This window comes from Homo sapiens, chromosome 4 (genome assembly GCF_000001405.40).
Source record: "Homo sapiens chromosome 4, GRCh38.p14 Primary Assembly".
Lineage (NCBI taxonomy): Eukaryota > Metazoa > Chordata > Mammalia > Primates > Hominidae > Homo > Homo sapiens.
Genome location: NC_000004.12, coordinates 86,794,266 through 86,822,232, shown reverse-complemented (window position 1 = coordinate 86,822,232; position 27,967 = coordinate 86,794,266). Strand labels below are relative to the sequence as shown.

Genomic DNA, 27,967 nt, shown 5'->3' with positions numbered 1-27,967 from the left:
ACAGTGCTGTTACAAACACTTTTGCCTTTAGGTGCAAGTATTTCTGTAGGCTCACTTCCTGTGACTTGAATTTCCAAGCCAATTGCTTACCGAAATGTATGACAGATTGCTATCTGGCAACGTTGTACAGCAGTGCCTGAGAGGGCCTGGTTTCCCACAGTCTCACCAGTCAAATGAATGATCAATTTTGATTGGTTAAAACATCTCATTTAAAATTTCATTTAGGCTGGGCGCGGTGGCTCACGCCTGTAATCCCAGCACTTTGGGAGGCCGAGGCGGGTGGATCACGAGGTCAGGAGATCGAGACCATCCTGGCTAACACGGTGAAATCCTGTCTCTACTAAAAATACAAGAAATTAGCCTGGTGTGGTGGCGGGCGCCTGTAGTCCCAGCTACTCTGGAGGCTGAGGCAGGAGAATGGCGTGAACCCAGGAGGCGGAGGTTGCAGTGAGCCGAGATCATGCCACTGCACTCCAGCCTGGGCAACAGAGCGAAACTCCATCTCAAAAAAAAACAAAAAACAAAAAACAAAATTTCATTTAAAAACTGAATGAACTAAAGCATTTTTCACAATCACTTGGCAACTTATGTCCTTTGCCTGCTTTTCTATTGTATCTTTTCCTTTTTGATGTATAGATTTTGAACCATAATGATAAGTGACAATGTGTCCTATGTTTTGTCAACATTTTACCTACTCGTTTATCTTTTGTTACTCTATGTCTTTTGCAATACAGAGTTTTATTTTTTTAATATATTCAGCTTATTAATCTTATTAAGAATGTTTTTTTTTTGCTCTGATCTCTGCCAAATGTTAGCATATTTATATATTTGTGTGGATTGTGAATTGTGATAGAATCTTTTTTTGAGAATGTATTTGGCCCCTTTTCAGGGAGTTCTTTCTGGGGGCTTACACAACATATTTACTAGCTGCTGTGTGTACTTCTTGTCTTCCCATGCAATACATGATGCCTGGCAGTAGGTAAATCTGTCCTCTACTAGAAATTATTAAAAATATTTTCCCATATGTTTTTCTAATACTGTGATGGAGCAAATACATACATACTTATTCCATTTTGAATTTTTCCTGTATGGCATAATAATCTAATTTTTTTATAGTTAATTATCCAAACATCATATATTGAATCATTATTCTTTTATCTACTGATTTGAAATGCTACCCTTATCACATAACTTCCTATATAATGTGTTTTTGTTGGGACTCTGGTTCCATTTTGTGTCTATTCTTATTTGTAAGTTTTGAAATGTGTGAGAAAGTGTTTTGAGATTTAATGTTTATAATGTTATTTTGTAAGTATTCCCAATAACTTGTGGGTTAATGCAATGACAATGATTATTGTATTTTCCACCAATTCAGAAAGCCTTTGTGGTAGTACAGAAGGAGCCCCATTAGGTCTTAGAGCCACGGCACTTTTTATATGGAAAAGAACTATGCAGATTTGTGACTTGTTAATTCTCAACTGTTGGTTTACTATTCGGAGAGTCCCCTTTATCCATATGATAAATGTTTACATAATGAGAAGCTAGTCTGTGCTATGTTCAGGCACATGGGACATGGCTCCTGCCCTCACAAAGTTTATAGTCTAGTAGGGGAATAGATCACTGCAATGAACACAGTTAGGAGAGTTGCAAGTAACAGAGATTTCCAGCTCTAAAATGAGTATTACCGTGAGGTTTTTTTTTGTTTGTTTTTTGTTTTTTTTTTGAGATGAAGTCTTGCTCTGTCATCCAGGCTGGAGTGCAGTGGCGCGATCTCAGCTTACCGCAACCTCCACCTCCCAGGTTCAAGCAATTCTTCTCCTGCCTCAGCCTCCCCAGTAGCTAGAACTACAGTCACGTGCCACCACGCCTGGCTAATTTTTGTAGTTTTAGTAGACATAGGGTTTCACCATATTGGCCAGCCTGGTCTTGAACTCCTGACCTCAAGTGATCCGCCTGCCTTGGCCTCCCAAAGTGCTGGGATTACAGGCGTGAGCCATCGTACCCGGGCTCCATGAGTTTTAAAGAATCCACAAAAAATGAATTTCTAAATTGTTTCTCCACATAGACACCTAAAACAAAATGGTAAAATTTAATGCTGTTCTGAAAGCTTAACAATATGGTCAGTATTTACAACAGTTAGGACGTTCCAAGGATGAGGGACACCAAAAGGATGAGGGATACCAAAGGCCATCCTTTAAGATAGAAACAACACATCAGAAGATGGCCATCTCCATAGATGGTTTGTAAACATGTTACTGACAAGAACTTGAAATAGTGAAGATGTTCAGAAGGCCACGTTATCTTTAGAACAAAAAATATAACTGGAAAAAAGTCCGATTTGAGTAAGTTGCATTCTAATTGATGTAAAGAATCATGAGTTAATAAAAGCTGGGACCTATATGAAACTCAGAAGTGGGGCCAGAGAAATCATGTTAAGCAGAATGAGTCCATGTCTAAGAGGAAAGAGGCAGCTGGATGGTCGTGGCAGCAGAGTGCAGTGGAGAGAACACAGGCTGTGTCAGGGCTGCCTGCATTCCACTTTTTTTTTTTTTTTTGAGTTGGAGTTTTGCTCTTGTTGCCCAGGCTGGAGTGCAATGGCGTGATCTCAGCTCACTGCAACCTCCGCCTTCCAGGTTCAAGTGATTTTCCAGCGTCAGCCTCCCGAGTAGCTGGGATTACAGGCACCCGCTACCACACCTGGCTAATTTTTGTATTTTTTTTTTTTTAGTAGAGATGGGGTTTCACCCATGTTGGACAGGCTGGTCTCGAACTCCCGACCTCAGGTGATCCGCCTGCCTGGGCCTCCCAAATTGTTGGGGTTACAGGCGTGAGCCACCGTGCCCAGCCTGCATTCTACTTTAATAGCTAGGAGACCTCCACAGCTATTGGTTGAAGTCAGTCAGAGCTGAAATTGAACGTTTACCTTGGGTATCTGGGCAACTTTGGGCAAGTGACAATCCCTCTGGGGTTTAGTTTCCTCTCTAAAAAAGGTTGATAACACATTCAATCCTGAACAACCTGAAAACGAGGCAAGGTGAAAACACCTGGTCCAATCCATAAGTGATCAATACTTGTTACATCCCCTACTTTTTTCTTGTGTAATCAGAAATACCCTTTGCGTCGAGGATCATTCAGCCTAACCCAGTTAATGAATGACATGTTGGTCTCTAGGCAACCTTCCCATTGGCCTTGACATGTACTTTCCCCAGCAGGAGGAGCCCCTTCTGAATGTCCAGCCTTCCTCATTCTGTTAGACCCACCTATAGCTTCCTTGTAAGCTAATAAATCAGCAACATGGTTTATCAGTGTCCTGAGGTTTTGCTTAGCACAACCTTTGGAATATGGTTATAGTTTGGTTGAGTGAATAAAACTATGTCTCTAAACCTGTAAAAATTGAAGACTACTTTTAAATACTTCCTATCAGTGAATCTCCTCAATAGTTACAAATTCAGAATCTTCTAAATATGTATGAAGATCTTGAAAAATTGGCATAGTGTTCGCTACCTTATACGGAATGGTGGAAACTGAGGCAGAATTGGAAAGGCACACACTACTTGCTGGGACCCAGTATCAATTGCTGTCTTTGTCCTTATGAACAGAATCAAGATATTGTTCATAGCTAGACAGCAACACATCTAGCTAAAAATAACTTTCTTGAAGCTAGAGATGGGCATCTGACAGATTTTGCTAAGACAGAAGGAAAAGTCTGCCCTTGACTTCTGGGAAATTTTGCTTTCTTGCCCTAGTACTGTTTGACCCATTTTCCTTGCCAATTCTTGTTTCTTTTCTGGAATGTGGATATAATAGCTGGAGCTGTGGCAGCCACTTCCAGGCCAAGGAAAGGCCAAGGATATTTATAGCGCTGTTGACATTCTTGAGCTATAGAATTAACTGCCTACTTCTGAGCAACTGCCTTCTGAGCTTGGTTTCTTAAGGAAAGAAAATAAACTCTAAGCCCTCTAGAATTTGTGAAAGGAAAATAAAAACTTGGGACCCCAATTCACTCCGCCAAAAGGAAAAAAATGAAGCTGAAAGCTGAGTCATGCAAGAAACTGCATTTCCTTTTGTTCCTAAGCAGATAGCTACAGATAAAAGGTTAAATATCTCCACAGGTAGTTACTCTACGTTCACCTTATCTATGTGCTGAGTGCAAGATAAATACATAACTATTTCCCTATCTGCTCCTTTTCTCCTGCAACATGTGGGTTCAGTGATGTGACCATACCCCTCTTCTTTCCCCTCCAGCTCACTTTTCTCCTTTAAATATTGAAACCCTCAAATTCATCTTTGGAGAAAGGCACAGACCACAGACTATTTCTGTGATTCCATGTCATTTCTTCCAGGCATGTCCTTCACCTTGGCAAAATAAACTTCTAAATTGAGACATGTCTCACATACTTATTGATTTACAACTTGTAGGCCTGTTTGGTTGCTTTTGCTTACTTGCAGTCAAATATAATCCCAAATTGATACAGTAAAGTTTCGATTGGCTTTAAAATATTATGCAGGTCAGCCTATAATTTATTACATTTATCTCTACCATTACAATGTTTCTGAATTATGAATATTTCTGAATTATGTAAAATGGAAAGCCTATCATTATCAAGGTGTCTGTATCTGGAAGATAGGTGTATTAAGCTGTTTTTTAAATTTATTGGATTATCACATTACATATAGATAACTAGTCCTTTTTAAACCAAAAAATCTGGCAGGCTATCTGGGACCACTGATGTAAAAGAATCTTTTCTCAACAGCTGTTTATTTCCTGTTTGCCATAATAATTCAGAATTATCTCTACTAATGACATGCACTGAAGTTTTGATTTTGGGATAAAATTGTTTCTAATTCTGCAATGCTCAGGACTACACTAAGATACTCAATCTTTTAGAATAATAACGAGTTCAGTTTTGTAAATATATTCTACTACAATATGTGCTTCCCCTTCTATAGCATAGAGTTGTCACTGGCAATCATTTGGCCAGTTCTTGCTGATGGAATGAGTGACAGCAATGTGTTTTGCATGTAAGCCTGGCTCGTAAAACCTCTCCATAGGCAATCCTTCGTGGGGAATGGAGGCGATTCTCAACCTTGGAAGCTATGTGTTGATTACAGTACTTTCATCAGCCCGGGCTAAAAACTGAGCCAAGTAGATCTGATTGCCAAGCTGTTCACTTTTCCAGAACTGTTAGATAAACTAGAAATAAACTATTACGTTTAAGCCATTCCATATCTTCAGTTTATATTTTCTAGCACTTAGCTAATACAAGCTGTGTTAAGAGCTGAATTGTACTTATTCATTAATTTGAGATGAGTGTTTCCATGTGCCACCCCAGCTGCGTGGCCTCACCTTGCTTTCTAACCAGACTGGCCCTTGCAAGTGGCTCATACCATTCCATGCTGGTGCAGCCAGATCCCAGCTGAGGGCAGTAACATATTTACCATCATGAAGTTTCCATTCATAGGTCATAAAGCTAAATCTGCATTTTCTTCCCCCCATTCCATTTCCTAGTGACATTCGTTCCAGAAAAAGCAACCTCCAGCTCCACCCTCTCCCATCTATGTTGACTTCAGATGCGAGCTAATCACCTCCAGCTGTACTGGCCCCCAGCGCTCTGCTGGCCTAGTTTCACATGCCAGTGCAGGAAAACAAGGCCTCATGATTCCAACTCTTTCAGAAAAGAGATTTCCAAATGTCATTTAAAGCAATAGAAACCTTTTTTTCAAATGAAATCTCCGGCTACAACCCAATCTATAATACTCTTCTGATTGAAGTGGGAATGGTAAAGCTTCTCTTGCCATATTCAGAGCCAATTCTGAGGTAGGACCCAAGCCTCTTATCTGCTGGGGCTTTAGCTAGTTACTGTGGGGCTTTATGTTTATTGATACTGTCTTCTGCCTTCAAATAGCCCCAGATTCTCGGGAATAGGTCCCAGCAAATTGCTGCACTTAAGTTTGGAAATTCAAGTCAACTAGCTCAGAACTGGTGCAGTCTTATGAGGATGAGCCAAGCAATTTCCTGGGTCTTAGAATGGTGTTGAGGCAGAAAAGAGTCTAGAGACAGGAAGCCCAAGGCCTTCTTGTAATTGGACTAAGAGGAAAACCCCACCTTTCCAGGACCAAGTAATGAGGGGCCAAATGCCCATGCCTCTCTGAACCTCCCCTCCCCTATGTCACAAATGGGTATGTCTGTAATTGGTCCATTCTGAAACTTTCATTTGCTTATACATCACAGGCAGGATGCCTCTGATTGGTTCTGGGCAGAATCCTGCCTCTGATTGGTCCTGGGCTGAATTCTTCATTTGTGTAGGGTGTAACCTATCAGAGGCCTCTAAAGGGTACTTAGGGGTGTTACCATGCTCTTGTAATTCAATAAAAGCCCAGGAACATTATAATCAGGGCTCTTGAGCCATGTGCTCAAGCCCACTTCCACTCTGTGGAGTGTACTTTCACTTCAAAACATCTATGCTTTAATCTTCCACTGCTTTGTCTGAGCATTTTGTTCAATTCTTTGTTCAACATGCCAAGAACCTGGACAACTCATGGTCAAGAACATCCATCCAGTTACAGTGTCGTGGCTGAATGGAGAAATACTGTTAGAATTAGAATTTAGTGAAATGAATTTAGTACTGAGAACAGAGAACCATTAAGCTAAAGCAGCTTTGAAGTCAATCTCTTTTCCTTCCTGTTTGCAGAACCAAATATACCCCCGCCCCCCAGGTAGTTTGATATGTTTTCTTTGATTAGCCCTTGGTCAGTTGAGTACTGTGGCTAGGACTTGAAAATATTCTGATTTATATATAAATTGGGCTCAATAAGTGGGCAACATTCACAAAGAGGTAGAAGGAAGAAAGACTGAATTTCTGAGCTACTGTTAAGCCAGTACATGACCCCCACATCAGTATTTAGTGAAGATCTATCAGGATCTCTGACAACACCTCTACTCTCCATGGCTGTCATGACTGAGGCCAACTAGGGAGATGGAAAGTGGTGTCTAGAGGTCCTTGTCTTCCCAGGGGCCTAGGTGTTGTTGAAAAATAACACACTGAAAATGTCTAATTTGTCTGCACACAGTTTTGGCTTGTTCATGTTTTAAGGTGTGTTTTTATTTACAAAGTGAGATAATGATTACAAACAGATGATGCAGTAACAAACAGATAACTGATAACTCCATTTTCATGAAAAAGTATATAAATATATTACAGGAAATTCTATATAGTAAACATTAGAAATTGATACAGTAAACATTTGCTACTTTTTTCTATGCCAATATTACTGTCATTTAAAGCTTAAATACTGGTTTCAAGTATCCCCTATAAAATAACTACTTTATTAAAATATTGGAAAACATTTTTGCTATAAACAAGATTGGTGCATTAAAAATAGACTCACCATGTCCTTGTAACAATGTCTGCTATCATCAAATGCTGCCTTTAATCATCCCTAAGATCTGCATTGTTTGGTTAGTGTTAAAATTTTGTAAATAATTATCATAGGTTAAAGTAGCTGTAAAAATACAGCATTTCAATATTTTTTATTTTCAAGAAGAATACCCCTCTAAGATAGAGGAGAACATGCATGTTGTATGAACTTGCTGCTCTGTGATCTTTATTTTGGATAGAGAGCAGGAGTCTGCTGGAGGTTAAGGAGAGAAATGGAAATGCATCCAGAGGCTCTTTTCATGTCACTTCAGAAGCTGAGGCTGCTGTTTTTGCTCTTCTTCTGCTTGAAGACGTGTCAGGACATAAAGGATGACTTGATAGCAGAAAATATATTGATCCTATGGCCAAAAAAAGTGAGATAGAATACTTTAGATGTATAATGTAAATATTATATATATATAGCTATACCACTATTGGAAGTGATGTTGGATGAGTTTTGAAAATATGGAAAAATTTTGTTAGAATGTTGAATGCAAGAAACAGGGTGTAGGCTGGGCGCGGTGGCTCACACCTGTAATCCCAGCACTTGAGGAGGCTGAGGCGGGTGGATCACGAGGTCAAGAGATCGAGACCATCCTGGCCAACATGGTGAAACTCTGTCTCTACTAAAAATACAAAAATTAGCTGGGCGTCGTGGCACGCGCCTGTAGTCCCAGCTACTTGGGAGGCTGAGGCAGGAGAATCGCTTGACACAGGAGGCGGAGGTTGCAGTGAGCCGAGATTGTGCCACTGCACTCCAGCCTGGTGACAGAGTGAGACTCAGTCTCAAAAAAAAAAAAAAAAAAAAAAAAAAGAAGCAGGGTATAGAATTGTGTGGTATTATAAAAATTATAATAGAAACCAGATTGGCAAAACAAGAAAAGAAAAAGCCTGAGGGATGCGGGATGGAACTATCCTAGAGTGCTAACTGAAGTTGTCTTTGATTGGTGGGCCACTACAATATTTTTTGTGCTTTGATTATACTTAGTGGAAAAATAACCTTCCTACATAATTTCTTCTGGATTTGTTGAGCTCATTTTGATGTTTTAAAATGTCAAAAAATTAACAGCTTAAGAAGCTATTCAAAATAATTGTCTTGCCAGGCATGGTGGTTCATGCCTGTAATCTCAGAGGCCGAGGCAGGTGGATCACTTGAGGCCAGGAGTTCAAGACCAGCCTGGCCAACATGGTGAAATCCCATCTCTACTAAAGTGAGGTGGCAGGCACCTGTAATCCCAGCTACTCAGGAAGGTGAGGCAGGAGAATCACTTGAACCTGGGAGGTGGAGGTTGCAGTGAGCAGAGATCACGGACTGTGCTCCAGCCTGGGTGACAGAGTGAGACTCCATCTCAAAAAACAAACAAACAAACAAACCAAAAAATAAGTCTTTAAATATTTTGGAACAAAAGCATGAAAATCAAAGTTCTTTGAAAATGAACTCCTTTGGTGAAATTATTTTCTATTAAGTTGATGGTGCAGAGATCTGACTTTTTTTGGCAAGGAATTGAGTCTGCAAATAAAAAACTCACAATATATTAAATGAAAAGTAATAAAACAACAACCACAGTTGAATCTCATTTAAAATAGCTACATGTGTGAGCTATTTTATATATAGTATGTGTGAGCATGAAGGAGTGTGCACATGTGTTTAGGACAAAGAATATAAGAACATCTCCTAAAAACATTAACAGCTCTCTGACAGTAGGAATACAAGTGGCCTTTTAAGTTTCTTTTTTGCTTATCTGTATTTTAACTTTTCCACACATTCATCCTTGACTCTTTCTCTGACACCACATACAACCCATTAGCAAATCTACTTCACATCACGTCCTGTTTCTTTCACTCTGTCCACACTTACCACTCCAGCTGTAGCCACCCCTGCTTGTCACCTAATTGATCTCTTTGCTTATAACACTACACCTTCCTCCCCAGACTTGGTGTCATTTTAACACAGCAGGTTAGTAGTCCTTTAAAATGTGAGTCAGATCACTGCCACTCCAGGCTCCCATTTCACTCAGAGAAAAGCCAAAGTCCTGGACCCTGTCACCTCCCCTCTAACCTCACCTCCTCCTTCACTCTTCCTTCTCTCGTGCCCTGCCCGCCACATTGGCTGTGACCATACCTGAACACTCAAGACCCTTGGACTTCCACACAGGTGGTCCCTCTGCCTGAAAGGCTCTTGTCCCCAGAGATCTACATGACCCTCTCCTTTGCCTTCAAATCTTTGCTTAAGTGTTACTTCGCCAATGGTGCCGCCCTGTTTAAAATCGTACCCCCAATCTGCCATGACTGATTCCCTTTACCTATTTCATTTTTCTTTTCTCTAAAGCACTTACCACTTTCAGGGATCCTATATAATTTACATGTTTAACATGTCTATGGTCTTCCATCCTTATCAGTATCCTGCAAGAATATCTTTGTTATTCTAGCAAGGATCTTTGTTTTATTCACTGATGTGCTCCAGGCACCTAGAAGAGTTCCTTTTTTTTTTTTTTTTTTTTTTTTGAGACGGAGTCTCGCTCTGTCGCCCAGGCTGGAGTGCAGTGGCGGGATCTCGGCTCACTGCAAGCTCCGCCTCCCGGGTTCACGCCATTCTCCTGCCTCAGCCTCCCAAGTAGCTGGGACTACAGGCGCCCGCCACTACGCCCGGCTAATTTTTTGTATTTTTAGTAGAGACGGGGTTTCACCGTTTTAGCCGGGATGGTCTCGATCTCCTGACCTCGTGATCCGCCCGCCTCGGCCTCCCAAAGTGCTGGGATTACAGGCGTGAGCCACCGCGCCCGGCCTAGAAGAGTTCCTAATACAAAGTAAGCACTCAATAAATATCTGTTGAATGAACAAATGAATGAATGAACTTTCTAGGTGTAAAGTGCTGCTTATAACAATCAAAATGTTTTCCTTACCTAAAAAGCGTGATTATAAATCAGCTTAATAGTTAGAAGACAAGTTGAATTAAAAAGGTTTATGAAAGGAAAGTAGGCAAATGCTAATTTTTAAAGATAGCAAATTTCCCTATTTTTCAAGAGGTAGAGAAATGTTAATTTATGGATATTTGAAAACGGCTTCTACATCCCCCACTCTTCCATTATAAACAAAGAGGATTGTGGAACTCTTCAGTGAAGACAGACACTCTAAATACGGCACTCCCTGTGAAGGACGCCATTGTGTCAGTGGGTGATGGTTTCCTTTCAGGTAAGAGAAACGAAAATCATCAAAAGAGGATAAATGGACCCATGTATTCACACTCCTTACAGAATGTCTTCTTGAAGCTAAGCAACTCCAGCCTGCCTTGCTGTGTTCCAGTCAATGCTGATGAATCCATTACTTCTCAGGGAATTTCTGTAGCAAGAATGTTACCTTCTATCTCTTTTTCAGGTTGGAAATAGGGAAGGAATGCCATTAATTACATAGTATTTTGTACCATTCTCAAACTCTGTCCCCAGCATGCTATCCCATTCTCTGTAATCTCTTCAGTGCAGATATTGCATTTTTAAATTAAAAGGCAACATTTTAAAAAGCTTGGAAGTATTTTAATTTTTTTCTGAATTAGTCCTCATTTAAAAAAAAATGCCCCTCACTGCAGTAAATGTTTGGTTTTATGCTCTAACATGGGAACTCTCAAAAAAGAAAAATGGTTTAATAAGAACCTTAAAAAATATTAGAATCTTTACAAAAATTCTCATTAGGAGGCCCAGCCATGACTCACCTCTGTCTGAACCATTCCGTGTCTTTGTAGTCTCATGCAGCGCACCAAATCAGAGATGTCAAACTGTCAGAGGAAACCACATATGTGTTAGATTCAAAGGATAACTGGATTTGAATCTCAAAAGGATCACAGAGGGGAGGCTTATGTAAAATTCTGTATCCCACTCTTCTTCCCCTTCTGGTAGTCTTGGGAAACTCTCCTGGACAAAATGACTTGGCGAATGGACTTTGTCATCACTTGGTATTCTTATTTTTTATCTTTCTAGGAATTAGGGAAGGTTAATCTATTTGAAAATCCCCCAAAGAAAAGAAATCATCTTCCCCCTGAAGTGTGACTAATTTCTAATATTACAATTTAAAAAGGTAAATTATTTTTCCTGCACACTGCTCTTCCGCTAAAGGTGTTTCCAACCTAAAAAAGATCTTTTGACTTCAGCTGACATTGAACAGTTGGAAATGAGGGAAAAAAAGACTATTTGGTTTCATCCTACTTAAATTACTACAGCTAGTGTGTAAAGTGCTTTTAACTAAAATTCTTTTTAAGACACTATGATTTTAATTACACATTATCTATGGTAAGATATTCTAAAATTTTAAATAAGGTTTATATTAATTTGAGTTCAAAAGTAAGATTATACTCTTATAGTAATTTTTTTATGTAGAGTAATTGTTTAGAAACTACTTAGCATTAATTTTATAATAAAATATACATTTTTTACCCATAGATAATACAAAAATACAAGCTTTTTCATTAAAAAAATACTTTCCTTTGTGCTTCAATTATTTCTATCTTTAAAGTGTGATAACAATACTATCTTATACAAGCCTAAAGACTATAAAGGGTAAAATGAAATACTGCATAAAAGGCCTCTGAGCACACAGTTAAAAAACACCCAGTAAAACAAGTATAAAATTGAAGTATTATTTTTTGTTGATCACGGTCTATGTAGTTTTGAATACCAATGTTTACAAAAATACAATTTTCTATAATAATATAAGAAGAAAATGAAGGCAGTCATATAAACTCATAAGTTAAAATATCCCAAGATCACAACACATTATCAAAAATTAGACTCCATCATTATTTCTGAACAAATGCTTACTCAGCCAATATCTTGTACTCACATCAAGATCCTGACTGATTAATCCCAGAACCACATCTATGCAAATCAGGGTCCCTGAACGTCCAATGCCAGCACTGCAGTGCGTAATGATTGGGCCTGATCTGTGGATGTGTCTCATGTAGGAGATAAAAGTAAGCAGATCATCTGGTTGAGAAGGTGTATCATGGTCTGGCCAGGCAGTGAAATTCAGATGAGAAATATGGCGCACCTCTCTGGTCTGAAATTGTATAACAGAATAAGTGGATCATGACATGTTATATTGTTCACATACAGTTAATTCTTTTTTTTCTTTCTTGAGATAGGGTCTCGTTCTGTTGTCCAGGCTGGAGTGCAGTGGTGCAATCTCGGCTCACTGCAGCCTCCGCCTCCCAGGTTCAAGCGATTCTCCTGCCTCATAGTAGCTGGGATTACAGGCGCACATTGCCACACCCAGCTAATTTCTGTATTTTTAGTAGAGATGGGGTTTCACCATGTTGGTCAGGCTGCTCTCGAACTCCTGACCTCAACTGATCCACTCACCTTGGCCTCCCAAAGTGTTGAGATTACAGGCGTGAGCCACTGTGCCCGGCCACAATTAATTCTTAATATTATATTGTGCTTTCAAATTTTGGCTTGTCTATAGGATCAGATCAAAGGAAAAGTGGAAGAAACTAAATGGCTCTATTAAGAAAAACATGGAAGGCCTCTATCAACAAGGTTGCTAGATCCACATTTTAAATATCGATAAAAACTACTTTTTGGAAACCCTAAAAACAAATTGCATTTTGATAACAACCTTTTCTGGTGACCCCATTCCAAATGCACCTCAGATAAAAGTCAGAGTCACTGCAACACTACCTAATCTGGCCCTGTTTCCTCTTAGACCTCACCTCCTCCTCTCTTTCCCCATGGCCACTTTCATCAAGCCAAATGATTCTCTGTGGCTTTAAATACAATGTGCACAGTTTGGTCTCAGGACTTTTGTACTGGCTCTTTCTGACTGGAATGGTTTTCTCCTCAGATATTCCCTCCATGGCTCACTCAACTCATTCACATTTTTCCTCAAATGCCATTTTCTCATACCTTCCCTGACTCCTTGTTGAAAATTACGACATACTTCTCATTCTCCCCCAGCCAATTGTCCTTCTCTATTTTTTTCCACAGCACTATCAATACTGGTATTTCCTCTTCAGAATGTAAGCTCCATGAGGTTAGAAATATTTTTTGTCTGTGTTGTTGACTGCCAAATCTCTATAAAGGGGTTGAGTTCTATAAAAATGTGTGGATTAAGTGGATAAATCACTGGAAGAATATTGAACAACTGTGCTAGCCTAAGTAATAGGTAAGCTAGTGTAAATCAATAAAAAATCATGAATCAAAAATTATGAGAGAAATTCTCAGGCTACATTTACATGACACCAATAGAACTGAATTGATATGCTTTGTTTCTATAAAAGTAAAATCACTGTTTCCTTAAGATAGCTAAATTTCTATGGGAAACATTACTCACATCTAGCTAGGATACTGTGCACAGGCGTGTAGTAAGGTGAGGGAGAACACAGAGTGAGGAAACAGTAGCAGCTTTACTTCAGGTATTGCCACTTATCTAATTCAAGCTAGATTGATCCAGTGGTTAGGTAACTGCAGTATGAATGATCTGAATAACAACTGTTTATGCTAAAATTATCCATGTATTCCTAAATATGTTAAGTTGCCTTTATGAGGGAATATTTTCTACTTAAAGATTTTAAAAGTAGTTTCAATGAGTCTACTTAGAGGTCTGACCATAAAAACACAAGTTTCCAACATGCAACTTCTGAGCCATTTTGTGCTATCACCAAGGATGATAATCACATTAAAAGTCCTGCATTTTCATTTCCATTTTAGTAGAGGACATACTGGAGGAAACTGGCAGAATTCATGAAGACAGTCACATTTAAACTTATATTACATAAAGAAAAAATAGCTAGCATTAGTTCCATTGCATGGGAACTAGGAAGTCACTGTCTTTTATCTAGAAATAACATTGGTGCAATCACGGAAAGAGTCCAGGCTTGGATTACAACTAGGAGATACACCTTCCAACAGGGAAAGATTTCATTCACTTACCTGAATATCTTCAAGGGTCATTGCCCTCACCACAAAGCCCTTCAGCTGCTGCATTCTCACAAGAGCCAGTCGAAGTCTGTTGCTGACCATTGTTGTTTTGCCTAGGATGTTGGGCCAATAGCGCTGGCATTTGATTTTTTCTCCTTCTACTTCTTGAGTCATCATGGCTATCACTGTGGATTTTTGCTCCCAAATCATCTGCCAGAAGTCTCCAACAGTTGTAGGCAGTGGTCCTTGGCAGGCAATGTAAACGAACTCTTCTTTCCCAACTGGTATCTTAATGAAGCTGGCATTGATATAGCCACCTTCATCTCCAAGAGGCACTCTTGTAGCATCATCTGTGAATTTTCCACCACAAAACAGAGCCATCCATATCATGCATTTTAAACAAGAGTCTTACAAATTGCATGAGTCAAAGATCATGAGAAATTCTCATAGTCACAGATGAAATCACCAACGTATTTTAATAGAAGTATATTTTCAAATTGTAGCACAGCCAAATTATTTTATGTTTATTCTTTTTGCTCATGTTACAAGTATCTAAGCTGTTAGTTTAGTGAGTTTCTGACATATGAAATTTGGTATTATTTACATAGATTTAGTTGAAATTAAAATTAGTAAGTTAATAAATGCATTTAGAATTGCCTAATAAGTAACTAGAGAAACAAAGAAAAACAACTGGTACTTCTCCATCATTATTTTAATGATGATGATGATAATAATAATAGCACTGAAAGGCAATGCCAAAAAATTTTTCATAGAACACAATTTAGTATTACAATAACACTATTAAAGTATATATTGCAAATGTTATTGGCATAATTAACTCTCACTCACCTAATAAAATTATATTCTTTTAATAAGCAGCCAAAACAATAAATTAACACAATAAAGAAAATAACAGCTCATTTTATTATCCAGGCATAAAGGCCCTTATCTTTGTTTTATTATAATTTCATATAGTCAAAATGTAATTTTTTAAACCAGGCTGCTCCAGTGAAAAGTATGTACAAGCTATCATTCACTGAGGTTATATTGTCTAAGATTTATCTAAGAGAATAAATTTATATGTATTACATACCTTAGAAGTTATTTCTATTTCTATTTCAAATATCTATAAATTTAACTGGTAATTACTGTGATTACCAAACTAAAACCTTTTAATGATAGGTTTCAAAATCCCCTACCAATTGCCCTTCTCACTTGACTTCTTTCTCTTAGTCCATACTGGTCATTTGTTTTGTGGGAGTAAATCCACTCATTAGTTTTGGATTTATGGCTTGTCCTATTCTGATTTTGAGATATTCAACTGGCCATTTTGCTGTCTAAAATAACTCCCATATACTTTATGCCAAACAGTGATCTGATCCATTTTTTAAATGTTGTCTAAGATTCATTTCTTACAGGAAGCTTTCCAAAATGAATTTGTACTTTCTATCTGGATTAGAAAAATACAATTGCATTATTACTTATCATGTGACTTGTCACTATTGATTTTTTTTATTATTTATCTTTAGATTTATGGTTTCTTGGTAAAGATAGGGTCAGTGTGTCATATGTTATAATCCAAAGTGCTAACATATATACATGTGGCTGGTAATTATAAGAATTTGCTAGAGGTCAGTATTTTGGCACACACATTCATACATAATTAAAAAAAATCACAGTGTGATTTTTTTACATGTGATTTTTATACATGTAAAAATTACTGCTTTTCTTTTTTTTTTCCTATTTTTTTTTTGAGATGGAGTCTCACTCTGTTGCCCAGGCTGGAGTGCAGTGGCATGATCTTGGCTCGCTGCAACCTCTGCCTCCCGGGTTCAAGCGATCCTCCTGCCTCAGCCTCCCAAGTAGCTGGGATTATAAGCATGAGCCACCACTCTCGGCTAATTTCTGTATTTTTCAGTAGAGATGGGGTTTCACCATGTTGGCCAGGCTAGTCTTAAACTTCTGATCTCAAGTGATCTGCCTCCCTCGGCCTCCCAAAGTGCAGGGATTAAAGGTGTGAGCCACTGCACCGGGCCAAAATGATTGCTTTTGTTCCCTTCTGGTATCTGAAATGTCTAATGTAGGCTGGTAGTACCACTGTAGTCATATGCATATATATACAGCTATTCATTACCATAGATATTTCTCTAAACTAAAAATAAGTGGAATAAATTGATGGTGGTTGTGATAAATGAATCCAACCAAGAAAATCCTCATCCAGAAGCCAGTTCCTATTTTTAAAAAGATTTTAAAATTAATGATTTGGCATCACCGACTAATTTCTAATACTGTATACTAGTAAAAATTCAGGAATATCCTATCAAATATTTCAGGTTCCTCTAACTGATTTTCAGAATACCTACATAATTTAAAAGGGGATTTACACGGAATATTTCAATGTATTTGTTACTGATATAAATCTGTGAATGTATGCACATGCACACGGTTATGTGAGGGATAGGTAAGTTAAACACAAAAAATTTTAATCCATTAATATTATACTGATCACATATTAAATCTGAAGCCAAACTGGAACTTACAGGGAAGTATATTTTTATATCTGTTCTTCCTTCTGTTTTCCTTAGTTTGCCCAATTAGACACTGATCCAAAGGTTTTAATTCTTGAAGATTCTGTAAGCAAAACATGGAAATAAATTTGTTGAGATAAGCAGTAATTCAGTAATAACTTCAAATACTTTAAATGTGTAGGGGCAAAATTGGTTGATTAAGGCTGATTCTGAGTGTTAAATACAGATGTCCTAAATAAGTCTAAAGTCAGTAGTGATTTGTTAAGTCAGCATTGAAATATATTGTTACAAGTATCTTTTAATTGAACACGTTGTAGTCAACTTTATGAGACAGAACTTTGTGTCTTAATTTTTAACTTCTGTTTAAAAGTGTTTATATTTTAGAAAAAAATACAATTAAAAAAACCCAACTCTGCCATAAAGTGATGAGCTAGAGCACAATTTATTGACAGTATAGTCTGTAAGGGTTATAGAATATTCCATGTGGTAGTGGTGTTGTGGTCAGATAGTCCTAGGTTCTAAAGTCAACTCTTGCTCACTTTTCATTCATTCGCTCATTCAAAAAATATATATTGCATGCTCATTATATGCAAGGTACTGTAATAAGTGATGGGAATACAGTGGTGAGCAAGAAGATAAGATTTTGGCTCTCCTGGCCTTTACAGCTTATTGGGAGAAAGACACAATAAAGAAGTAAACAAATATTGTAGTATATGCCTTGAAGAAATCAATAAGCTGCTGTGGTAAAGAAATCCTTATAAACACTACTTTGTAAGGGTTGTGATGGAACTTTTCTGATGGTGACATTTAAATCTAAGAACTTGAAGAACAAATCATTCCATAGCATGGCGATGAGAAGAGTATACCTTAATTACTGTGAGCCTCAGTTTCACAATCTATAACAGAATTAATATTTTGAGGAATATATACAAAGCAACAAGCACAAAGCAGAACCTCTTATTAAAGTTAACTCCTTTTAGTGGCTACAAAGCTTAGGAAGTAGGCAAATAAGCAGATGGTTTGAGGAAGAGGGGCAAGGTCAACTTCAAAACCACTCTCTTTTCTAGTGGTAAATATGGACAGTACCATGAGACCACAGGAGCTAGGGCTCTGAGCCATTGCTGCTTTGAACTAGGACACACATTCTTGGAGCTGTATTAAATTAGAACCTTCTGTTAATGATGAAACACGTCTACAATACACTAATTATAAAGTTTAGTGCATGGTTGAAATTTATACTTGGCTTTTTTTTTTTTTTTAAACATTTTTACCTTAACTATGAGGCAGGAAGGATAATCTTCAGGGAAATGTATCAAGTTCCAAGTAGTTAAAGTGATTCCTTTAAATCACTATTATTGGGATCCTAATCAGAAAAATTAATTTTCTGCTAGATATGATAAGGTGGTGCTTTTAGAGTTGGAAAATTTTCAAAAATTCTTCTAATCTTGGGCCAGTAAAGATACATTTTCCTTACAAACTAAATGCATACACTTTGGGAGAGAATCATTGGCAGAAGCCACTTACCTCCAGCTCCTTAGAAGGAATTCCTTGATCTAGCAAACCCCGCAGGACTCGAATGACTGATTTTAAGTTGGCACCCGTGTATTTACCAGAGGGAAGCACTTTGACGACAGGGAGTACAGCGAGCTCATCGTTTGTCAGAAAGGAATGATCTAATAGGAAGACAGCAATTTAAAAACAGTTCCTCCAGAACCAATTTAACTAAGTGAACTAATTTCAGCCTATGTTCACCTCATCTTACAAAAGGGAAAGTCTATTTATTTATTTAGAGATAGAATCTTGTTCTGTCGCCTACGATGGAGTGCAGTTCTGTAATCACAGCTCACTGCGGCCTTGATCTACCAGGCTCAAGGGATCTTCCTGCCTCAGTTTCCCAAGTAGCTGGGACCACAGTCATGCACCCTCTGTGCCTGGTTAATTTTTAAATATTTTTGAAGAGACGGGGTCTCCCTATGTTGCCCAGGCTGGTCTTGAACTCCTGGCCTCAAGTGATCCTCCTGTCTTGGCTTCCCCAAGTGCTGGGATAACAGACGTGAGCCACTGCACCTGGCTAGGAAGGTCTTTATTTTATTTTATTTATTTTATATATTTATATATGTGTGTGTGTATATTCTATATATATACACAATAAATATATATGTATATATGTGTGTGTATATATATACACAATAAATATATATGTATGTATGTGTATATATAAAAAATACATGTATATGTGTGTGTGTACCTGGCTAAGAAGGTCTTTATTTTATTTTATACACACACACACACACACACACACACACACACACACACAGTCTTATTCTGTAGCCCAGGCTGAAGTGCAATGGCACAATCACAGCTCAATGCAATGTCAACCACCTGTCTCAGGCGATCCTCCCACCTCAGCCTTCCTGGTAGCTGTGACTACAGGTAAGCACCACCACGCCTGGGTAATTTTTTGTATTTTTTTGTAGAGATGGGGTTTTGCTATGTTGCCCAGGCTGGTCCTGAACTCCTGGGCTCAAGCGATCCACCTGCCTTGGCCTCCCAAAGTGTTGGGATTCCAGGCATGAGCCATTGTGCCTGGCCAGAAAAGTCTTTAAATATGCAACAACTAATAATATTTCCCCCAAAACAGATTTAACTAACAAATGAACTAATTTCAGCCCATTCTCACCGCATCTTACAAAAGGGAAAGTCTTTAAATATGAGAGAATTAATAAGGTAATAGAATTAATAGGTAGGCTGATAACTACAATTAACACAGGAAAGTCAGCCCTAGCACACTCCCACACCCAGCTTTTAAGGAGATACCTCACTGACGTTCAGAAGTTTTTAAGGCTCTTGGCTCTCATTTATTTATAGTTTCTAAAGGAGTTTATGTTGTTTCTTTTTGCTTCTCTTGACTCATATGGCACTGTTTAAAAATTTTTGATAAGGGGTTTATCATGGGCAGCCTGGGGACAGCTTGCTTCTTTTCCCTGCAAAACCAGCCATAAAAAGGTAATTGTACTTAGTTCTCAGAATTTCAGAAACAACATAATAGGTAGGCAATTTTTAAAAATAAGTATTCTAGATAATAGTAAATGGGATTCTTTCAACAACAGAACTCTGTTACAGTGAGAGAAGATGAATTTTTCTGAAGAATCCCAAACTTCACAATATTCTCTAAGTTATGCTCCCCTGACTCCTTACACACCACACACACACACACACACACACACACACACACTAAAATCTTGATCTCATATATACAGAAAGCCTTTATAAATAATGGGAAAAGATGAAAAAATTGCAGCACATCAAACAAATACAAAATTGGTATGTGTTAAGACTAACAAATTATTTTAAAAAAACAGACTTTTGGTTAAATAAATACCTTTAAATTGTTCCAACAGAGCCAATGGAACCATCATTTTAGTAGGTAATTGAGAATTATAATGACAATATCCTTTGCTTCAATACTTTTACACTAAAATGTGACCATAAGTAAAACATATAAATTCTTTTTACGAACAGCTTGATTGCAGAAAACCAAACATATTTCAGATATTTCTTAGCTTAGTTTTTCTTAAACTGGGCTCTGCTGACCCATGGAGGCCAGTATTTCTACATAAGCATTTAAAAATTTTGTTTTAATTTCAAGATAATATAAAAAGCACATTCTAGATCACCTGAATAACCAACTCATAACTAAACACTGAATTATTTCAGTGCCTTGAATTGCAATGTGTTGCTCACCCTGGCACTAGTAGAGACTGATAATCTAAAATAATGGCATTAAATGTTATTCAAACTGGTTCATAAACATTCTCAGTGCTTCTTAGGTTCTCAAATTTGAGAAATGCTGTCCTAAAGTTTTACAAGTATGCTTAGCTGTAACTGAAATTCTAATCTGCATAACACATGCAACTTAAACTTTTACCTGCCCCCTCACCCCCCAAAAAAACCTCAGGAACTCATTACAAAAAATTATCAAATTTAATTCTGTTACTACTTTTCATTTAAATTAGCTTCTAAGCACATGGTGAAAGTAAGAGAGACACTTCAGAAATTCCTTAATATGGGAGATTACTCCAGGAACACTGATTTCTCTCTTCACCATCCATCCTTGGCACTCAGGGCCAGTTATCCCTGGTGTTCGATAGTTTTCTCCATGCAAATAAAGAATTCCCTTGAATTCTTTGGGAGTTGAGTCAACTATCTTAGAAGAGCTATGGGTCTAATTTAGTACCTGCTGTATGGAAATTATTTATAATTGAAGGCAACTGTTATCCTAGAAAAAGGGAAGGGAAACGTCTTGCTATAGACTGCACAAGTGTAGCTTTAATTATGTCAATCAGCTGATTAAAGCATTTTGATGATGCAGCTAAGATATAGGCAGCAATGATGCTGGCACTGTGAGGGACACAAAACTATACAAGACACCTAAAAGGTTAACATTTAGCTCGGGCAGAGGTTGGCTGGGAATACAAAATTTACTCATATGAAATAACTTTTACAGAACTGCATGTCAGTGCAACAGGAACTTAAAGGCTGGGTGGATGAGCAAGGGCTACAGTGCTGGACATGCATGTTGTACACATACCAACAGTCTAGCCAAGTGAAGAAAGTGTTAATTAAACTAACTTCCTTCCTCCCTCCCTTCCTTCCTTCCTCCCTCCCTCCCTCCCTGCTTTCTTCCCTTCTCTCCTTCTCTCTCTTTCTCTCTCTCTCTTTCTTTCTTTCTGACAGGATCTCACTCTATCACCCAGGCTGGAGTGCAGTGACGCAATCTCGGCTCATTGCAACCTCTGCCTCTGGGGTTCAAGCGATTCTCCTGTCTCAGCCTCCCGAGTAGCTGGGATCACAGGTGCCTGCCACCATGACCAGCTAATTTTTGTATTTTTAGAAGAGACGAGGTTTTGCCTGTTGGTCAGGCTGGTTGAACTCCTGACCTCAGGTGATCAGCCTGCTTTGGCCTCCCAAAGTGCTAGGGTTATAGGTGTGGGCCAGCACGCCCAGCCTAAGCTGTTAATTTCTTAAAAAAAAAAAAAATAGACTTTGCTTTGAATGACAAAACCGTGTTCTTTCATTATAGTGACACTTCCTGATATAAAATAAGACGAATTAAACACTGGATAGAATTTCATTTCTCCATTGGCTCAGTAATAAAATGAAAAGGCAGTAATAGTGAAACAGACCAATTGATTCCCGATCATAAAAGATGAGGTTGGGATTCTAGGATAATAATAATTCTGGCCAGGTGCGGTGTGGCTCACGCCTGTAATCCCAGCACTTTGGGAGGCCGAGGTGGGTGGATTGCCTGAGCTCAGGAGTTAGAAACCAGCCTGGCCAACATGGTGAAACCCCATCTCTACTAAAAACAGAAAAAATAGCCAGGCATGGTGGCGCACACTTGTAATCCCAGCTACTTGGGAGGCTGAGGCAGAATAATTGCTTGAATTCAGGAGATGGAGGTTGCAGTGAGCCAAGATTGTGCCACTGTATTCTCCAGCCTGGACGACAGAGAGAGACTCTGTCTCAAAAAAAAAAAAAAAAAAAAAAAAAAAAGTGCCCCTTGACTTCTCCTTCCAGAATGGCAAAATTATGACTTCATATTTCCACTTAAAGTATGTATACATTTATTTGCATGTTTTACTCCAAGCCACTGAGAATTTTAGAATATAACTGTGCAAATATCTGGTAATATAATGAATATTGATTTTTGTCTACATGATTTAACTTTATGTTTAAAAGCAAATACTGTGGCTGGGTGCGGTGGTTCATGCCTGTAATCCCAGCACTTTGGGAAGCTGAGGTAGGTGGATCATCTGAGGTCAGGAGTTCCAGACCAGCCTGGCCAACATGGTGAAACCCTGTCTCTACTAAAAATACAAAAATTAGCTGGGCATGGTGGCACCCGCCTGTAATCCCAGCTACTCGAGGCTGAGGCAGGAGAATTGCTTGAACTGCGGAGGTGGTGGTTGTAGTGAACTGGGGAGGTGGTGGTTGTAGTGAGCCGAGATCGCCCCACTGGACTCCCAGCCTCTGTCTCAAAAAAAGAAAAAAAAAAAAAAAAGCAAATAATGTATACATATGGTAAAACAGCATATCCATATAGTCTGAAAATCACTTAAAAACATTTTTCCAATTCATTATTTTTGAGGAAAAAACTGTCATTAAAATTCTTGCCTTTATCAGAATCTTCATGGTTTGTTCTCTCTATTGGCAACTCATCATTTCCCCATGTTATTTCATCATCATCAGTCTTCTTTTCTTGTGGCTTCTGAATTAAGCTATGAAAACAAAACATATTTGAAACATTTTCTTCATTTTTGTACTCAAATTAAACATGGCCCTGAATGATTTTCTCTACAATTATTATAGTATTTTAAAATAGAATGTCTAAGAAAACCAAAGCCACAATTCTTAAAATTTATTGGTAGATGTAAACAACTGAGATGTAGAATGGTTTAATACAGTTTTAAAATTTATCCTTGGACAGATCCCGTTTTTGAACTTTAAACTGAAGGAGTCCATTTGAGGATGGAGAAGGTGGTGGTTTTATTTCTATCCTTCAACATGGATGAGTGATTACAATTGTACCGGCATATAGCTCTTTCTCCTTCTTTTCAGCATCTGCCCACTACTGCAAAATATGAATGTATCTTAATTTATTTAAAGAAGTCTCTATTGATGGGTATAGCCTTTTGCTACAACAGGAGGCCAGAAGGACACTCCTGTACCTGGGCACTCACTTAATGTAATGAAACCCAGTACAAGTTCTCAATATTTTGGGAGTGCATAACAGATGCCCTCTTTGGTAAGGTGGATGGCTAGGAAAGAGAAACTAGGTAGGAGAACGGTGTTTAGTGCTAAGGTGAAGTGAAAAAGGATTACGTAAAAGCCTGAATACGTTTTTAACTTTCTGATATTCAGGGGGAACAAAGCAGAGTACTTTCATCTGATGACATTAGTATACACCAGGACATGGACTAATGCTCCCAAAATGTCAACAGGGCAGCAATTACGCTGCTTTTATGACAGATGTTTCCCCCTGTTCTAACTCACTGTGGGTGACAACACTAATTTTGCTGGGTTAAAAAGCTCTACATCCATGAAATGTCTGGGAAAGCTTCACTGGAGAGTTCTCCTCTTGTGTGACTATGTTCCTGCTCATTCGTCTCATCAAACAAGGCAATTTTGTGAGCTTCAGTGGGAAATTACCAGGAATCCATCTTAGAGTCCTTATTTGGCTCCTTCTGACTTTTTGTTTCTCAATCTCAAAAAATCTGTAAAGGGCATGCATTTTTCTTCAGTTAATGTAAAAAAGACTGCATTGATATGGTTAAATTTGCAGGACCTTCAGTTTTTTGGGGATTAACTAAATGGCTGGTATCATCACCTACAAAAGTGTGCTAAACTTGATGGAGCTTATGTTAATAAAGTTTATATTTTATATTTTTATCTTTTAACTCTATTTTTTCATGAACTTTTTGAAGTCCCCTCATAGATAAAAACCCTTTCCCTCATATATATTTTTGTAAAAAAAGACCTTACTTTATAATTAGAAATTGTTTAAAAATATTTTTATGGGTTTTAAAACATATTTTGTGGGTTTCTTACTTTTTTTGGTTTCATTTTCTCATTAAAAATTAAAAAATTTTGAAGTATAGAAAAATAGAGAAACTGAAAAATAAATGACCCATAACCCAATAGGTGAAGACAGTCACTATCATGATTGTTGCCACATTTCCATTTAGGGTCACGCTTTCATTCATTTTTTCCAATAGTTAAGAGAATATTGCTTTCTTGAAGCAATAGTATAATAAACACATTTTCACATGTCACTAGAACCTCCTTGTAACAAAAAATTTAAAACTTTTTTTCTTTCTTTTTTTTTTTGAGACAGAGTCTTGCTCTGTTGCTCAGGCTGGAGTACAGTGGCGCGATCTCGGCTCACTGTAACATCCACCTCCTGGGTTCCAGCAATTCTCCTGCCTCAGCCTCCTGAGTAGCTGGGATTACAGGCATGTGTCACCACACCCAGCTAATTTTTATATTTTTAGTAGAGGCAGGGTTTCACCATGTTGGCCAGGCTGGTCTCCAACTCCTGGCCTCAAGTGATCTGCCCATCTCAGCCACCCAAAGTGCTGGGATTACAGGCATGAGACACCATGCCTGGGTTCTTGTATTTTTAGTAGAAAACAGGGTTTCACCATGTTGGCCAGGCTAGTCTTGAACTCCTGACCTCAAGTGATCTGCCCGCCCCAGCCTCCCAAAGCACTGGGATTACAGGCATGAGCCACCGCACCTGGCCCGAAAATTTTAAAAATTCTTAATATTCAACCATAGTTTTATAATCTACTCAACTATGCTTATTTTATACTGGAAAACAAATGGAAATCTTCAGAGCATTTATAGATAGACAGAAGCATTATGGATACTTTGAAAATTATTTTCTCACCTTTCACTTTTTACTTTTTCTTCACAATATTCTTCACAGCCATTCATTTTGGTGGCCTACAATAAAAATATATAAGAATCAAATCAGCCCATTGTAACAAAAAAAATCGCATACTATTTTTTTCCTGTTAGTTATTTCCTATATTTACTGTTATTGTTCATCCTTATATTACAAAGACACATATGACATTCAATTAATACACTCCAAACAGTGGCTGAGGCATCAGTGGCCCAACAGTCTTTGCTGCTCCCACTTAGGTAACTTCACACTCATCTTGGCTTTTCATTTTTTTAAAGAGATGGAGTCTGTTGCCTGGGCTAGAGTCCAGTGGTACAATCATGACTCATGTAACCTCAAACTCTTGGGCTCAAGCAATCCTCCTGCCTCAGCCTCCTGAGTAGCTAGGGACTACAGGTGCATGTCACCATGCCCAGGTAATTAAAAATTTTTTTTTTTCTGTAGAGATGGGATCTCACTATGTTGCCCAGGCTGGTCTTAAACTCCTAGCCTTGAGCTACTCTCCTGCCTCAGCCTCCCAAAGTGTTGGGATTACAGGTGTGAGCCACTGAAGCCAGCCTGGCCTTCATTTCTTATATTAAAAATATTAATAGGAAAGAGACAAAGATGAAAAAGATGAAAGTGTGAATTAATGATTATTTAGATATGCACATTTGGTATGTGCTTTTCTACTTCAATTTTAAAATCTAAAAAAAGCTTCAAGAAAATCTTAGTAGTTTCAAATATGTTAGATTATAATATATTGCCCCTTTATCATTAAAGATTAGTCAACTCATACTTTAACTGAGTATGGTGTGTTTCAGAGATTCAAATACTGCAGCAGGAGCAGTTTGCTACAATTAGAAAGAAATGCCAAATTGTATTATTTTTTCTATTATACTTTAAGTTCTAGGGTACATGTGCACAACATGCAGGTTTGTTATGTAGGTAGACATGTGCCTTGTTGGTTTGCTGTACCCATCAACTCATCATTTACATTAGGTATTTCTCCTAATGCTATCCCTCCCCCAGGCCCCCAAACCCCAAAAGGCCCTGGTGTGTGACATTCCCCGCCCTGTGTCCATGTGTTCTCATTGTTCAACTCCCACCTATGAGTGAGAACATGTGGTGTTTGGTTTTCTGTCCTTGTGATAGTTTGCTTAGAATGATGGTTTCCAGCTTCATCCATGTCTGTGCAAAGGACATGAACTCATCCTGTTTTATGGCTGCATAGTATTCCATGGTGTATATGTGCCACATTTTCTTTATTCAGTCTATCATCGATGGACATTTGGGTTGGTTTCATGTCTTTGCTATTGTGAACAGTGCTGCAATAAACATACGTGTGCATGTGTCTTTATGGTAGCGTGATTTATAATCCTTTGGGTAGATGCCCAGTAATGTGATCACTGGGTCAAATGGTATTTCTAGTTCTAGATCCTTGAGGAATTGCCACACTGTCTTTCACAAAGGTTGAACTACTTTACACTCCCACCAACAGTGTAAAAGCGTTCCTATTTCTCCACATCCTCTCCAGCATCTGTTGTTTCCTGACTTTTTAACGATTGCCATTCTAACCGGCATGAGATGGTATCTCATTGTGGTTTTGATTTGCATTTCTCTGATGACCAGTGATGATGAGCATTTTTTCATATGTCTGTTGGCTGCATAAATGTCTTCTTTTGAGAAGAGTCTGTTCATATCCTTTGCCCACTTTTTGATGGAATTGCTTTTTTCTTGTAAATTTGTTTAAGTTATTTGTAGATTCAGGATATTAGTCCTTTGTCAGATGGGTAGATTGCAAAAGTTTTCTCCCATTTGGTAGGTTGCCTGTTCACTCTTAATGAGTTTCTTTTGCTGAGCAGAAGCTCTTTAATTAGATCCCATTTGTCAATTTTGGCTTTTGTTGCCATTGCTTTTGTTGTTTTAGTCATGAAGTCTTTGCCCATGCCTATGTCCTGAATAGTACCACCTAGGTTTTCTTCTACGGTTTTTATGGTGTTAGGTCTTACATTTACGTCTTTAATCCATCTTGAGTTAATTTTTGTATACGGCATAAGCAAGGGATCCAGTTTCAGCTTTCTACATATGGCCAGCCAGTTTTCCCAGCACTATTTATTAAATAGGGAATCCTTTCCCCATTGCTTGTTTTTGTCAGGGTTGTCAAAGATCAGATGGCTGTAGATGGGTAGTATTATTTCTAAGGCCTCTGTTCTGTTCCATTGGTCTTTATATCTGTTTTGGTACCAGTACCATGCTGTTTTGGTTACTGTAGCCTTGTAGTATAGTTTGAAGTCAGGTAGTGTGATGCCTCCAGCTTTGTTCTTTTTGCTTAGGATTGTCTTGGCTATGTGGACTCTTTTTGGGTTCCATATGAACTTTAAAGTAGTTTTTTCCTATTCTGGGAAGAAAGTCAGTGGTAGCTTGATGGGGATAGCATTGAATCTATAAATTACTTTGGGCAGTATGGCCATTTTCACGATATTGATTCTTCCTATCCATGAGCATGGAATGTTCTTCCATTTGTTTGTGTCCTCTTTTATTTCGTTGAGCAGTGGTTTGTAGTTCTGCTTGAAGAGGTCCTTCACATCCCTCGTAAGTTGGATTCCTAGGTATTTTATTTTCTTTGTGGTAATTGTGAATGGGAGTTCACACATGATTTGGCTC

The 27,967-nt window shown here is 38.3% G+C and overlaps 1 protein-coding gene across 24 annotated transcripts in view; it reads right to left on the bottom strand.

The window, feature by feature from the left end:
* Positions 7,072-27,967, bottom strand: part of PTPN13 (protein tyrosine phosphatase non-receptor type 13) — a 220,847-nt gene continuing 199,951 nt past the window's right edge. For all 24 annotated transcript variants that reach the window (XM_011532165.3, NM_080685.3, XM_017008511.3 and 21 more), the window contains 8 exons: positions 25,304-25,359; positions 23,029-23,132; positions 18,376-18,524; positions 16,864-16,954; positions 14,336-14,673; positions 12,249-12,464; positions 11,125-11,187; positions 7,072-7,777 (listed from right to left, as the gene is read on the bottom strand). In XM_011532165.3, coding sequence (XP_011530467.1) covers positions 7,682-7,777; positions 11,125-11,187; positions 12,249-12,464; positions 14,336-14,673; positions 16,864-16,954; positions 18,376-18,524; positions 23,029-23,132; positions 25,304-25,359 — 1,113 coding nt within the window. In that variant the 3' untranslated portion in view covers positions 7,072-7,681. The remainder of the gene's footprint in view (positions 7,778-11,124; positions 11,188-12,248; positions 12,465-14,335; positions 14,674-16,863; positions 16,955-18,375; positions 18,525-23,028; positions 23,133-25,303; positions 25,360-27,967) is intronic.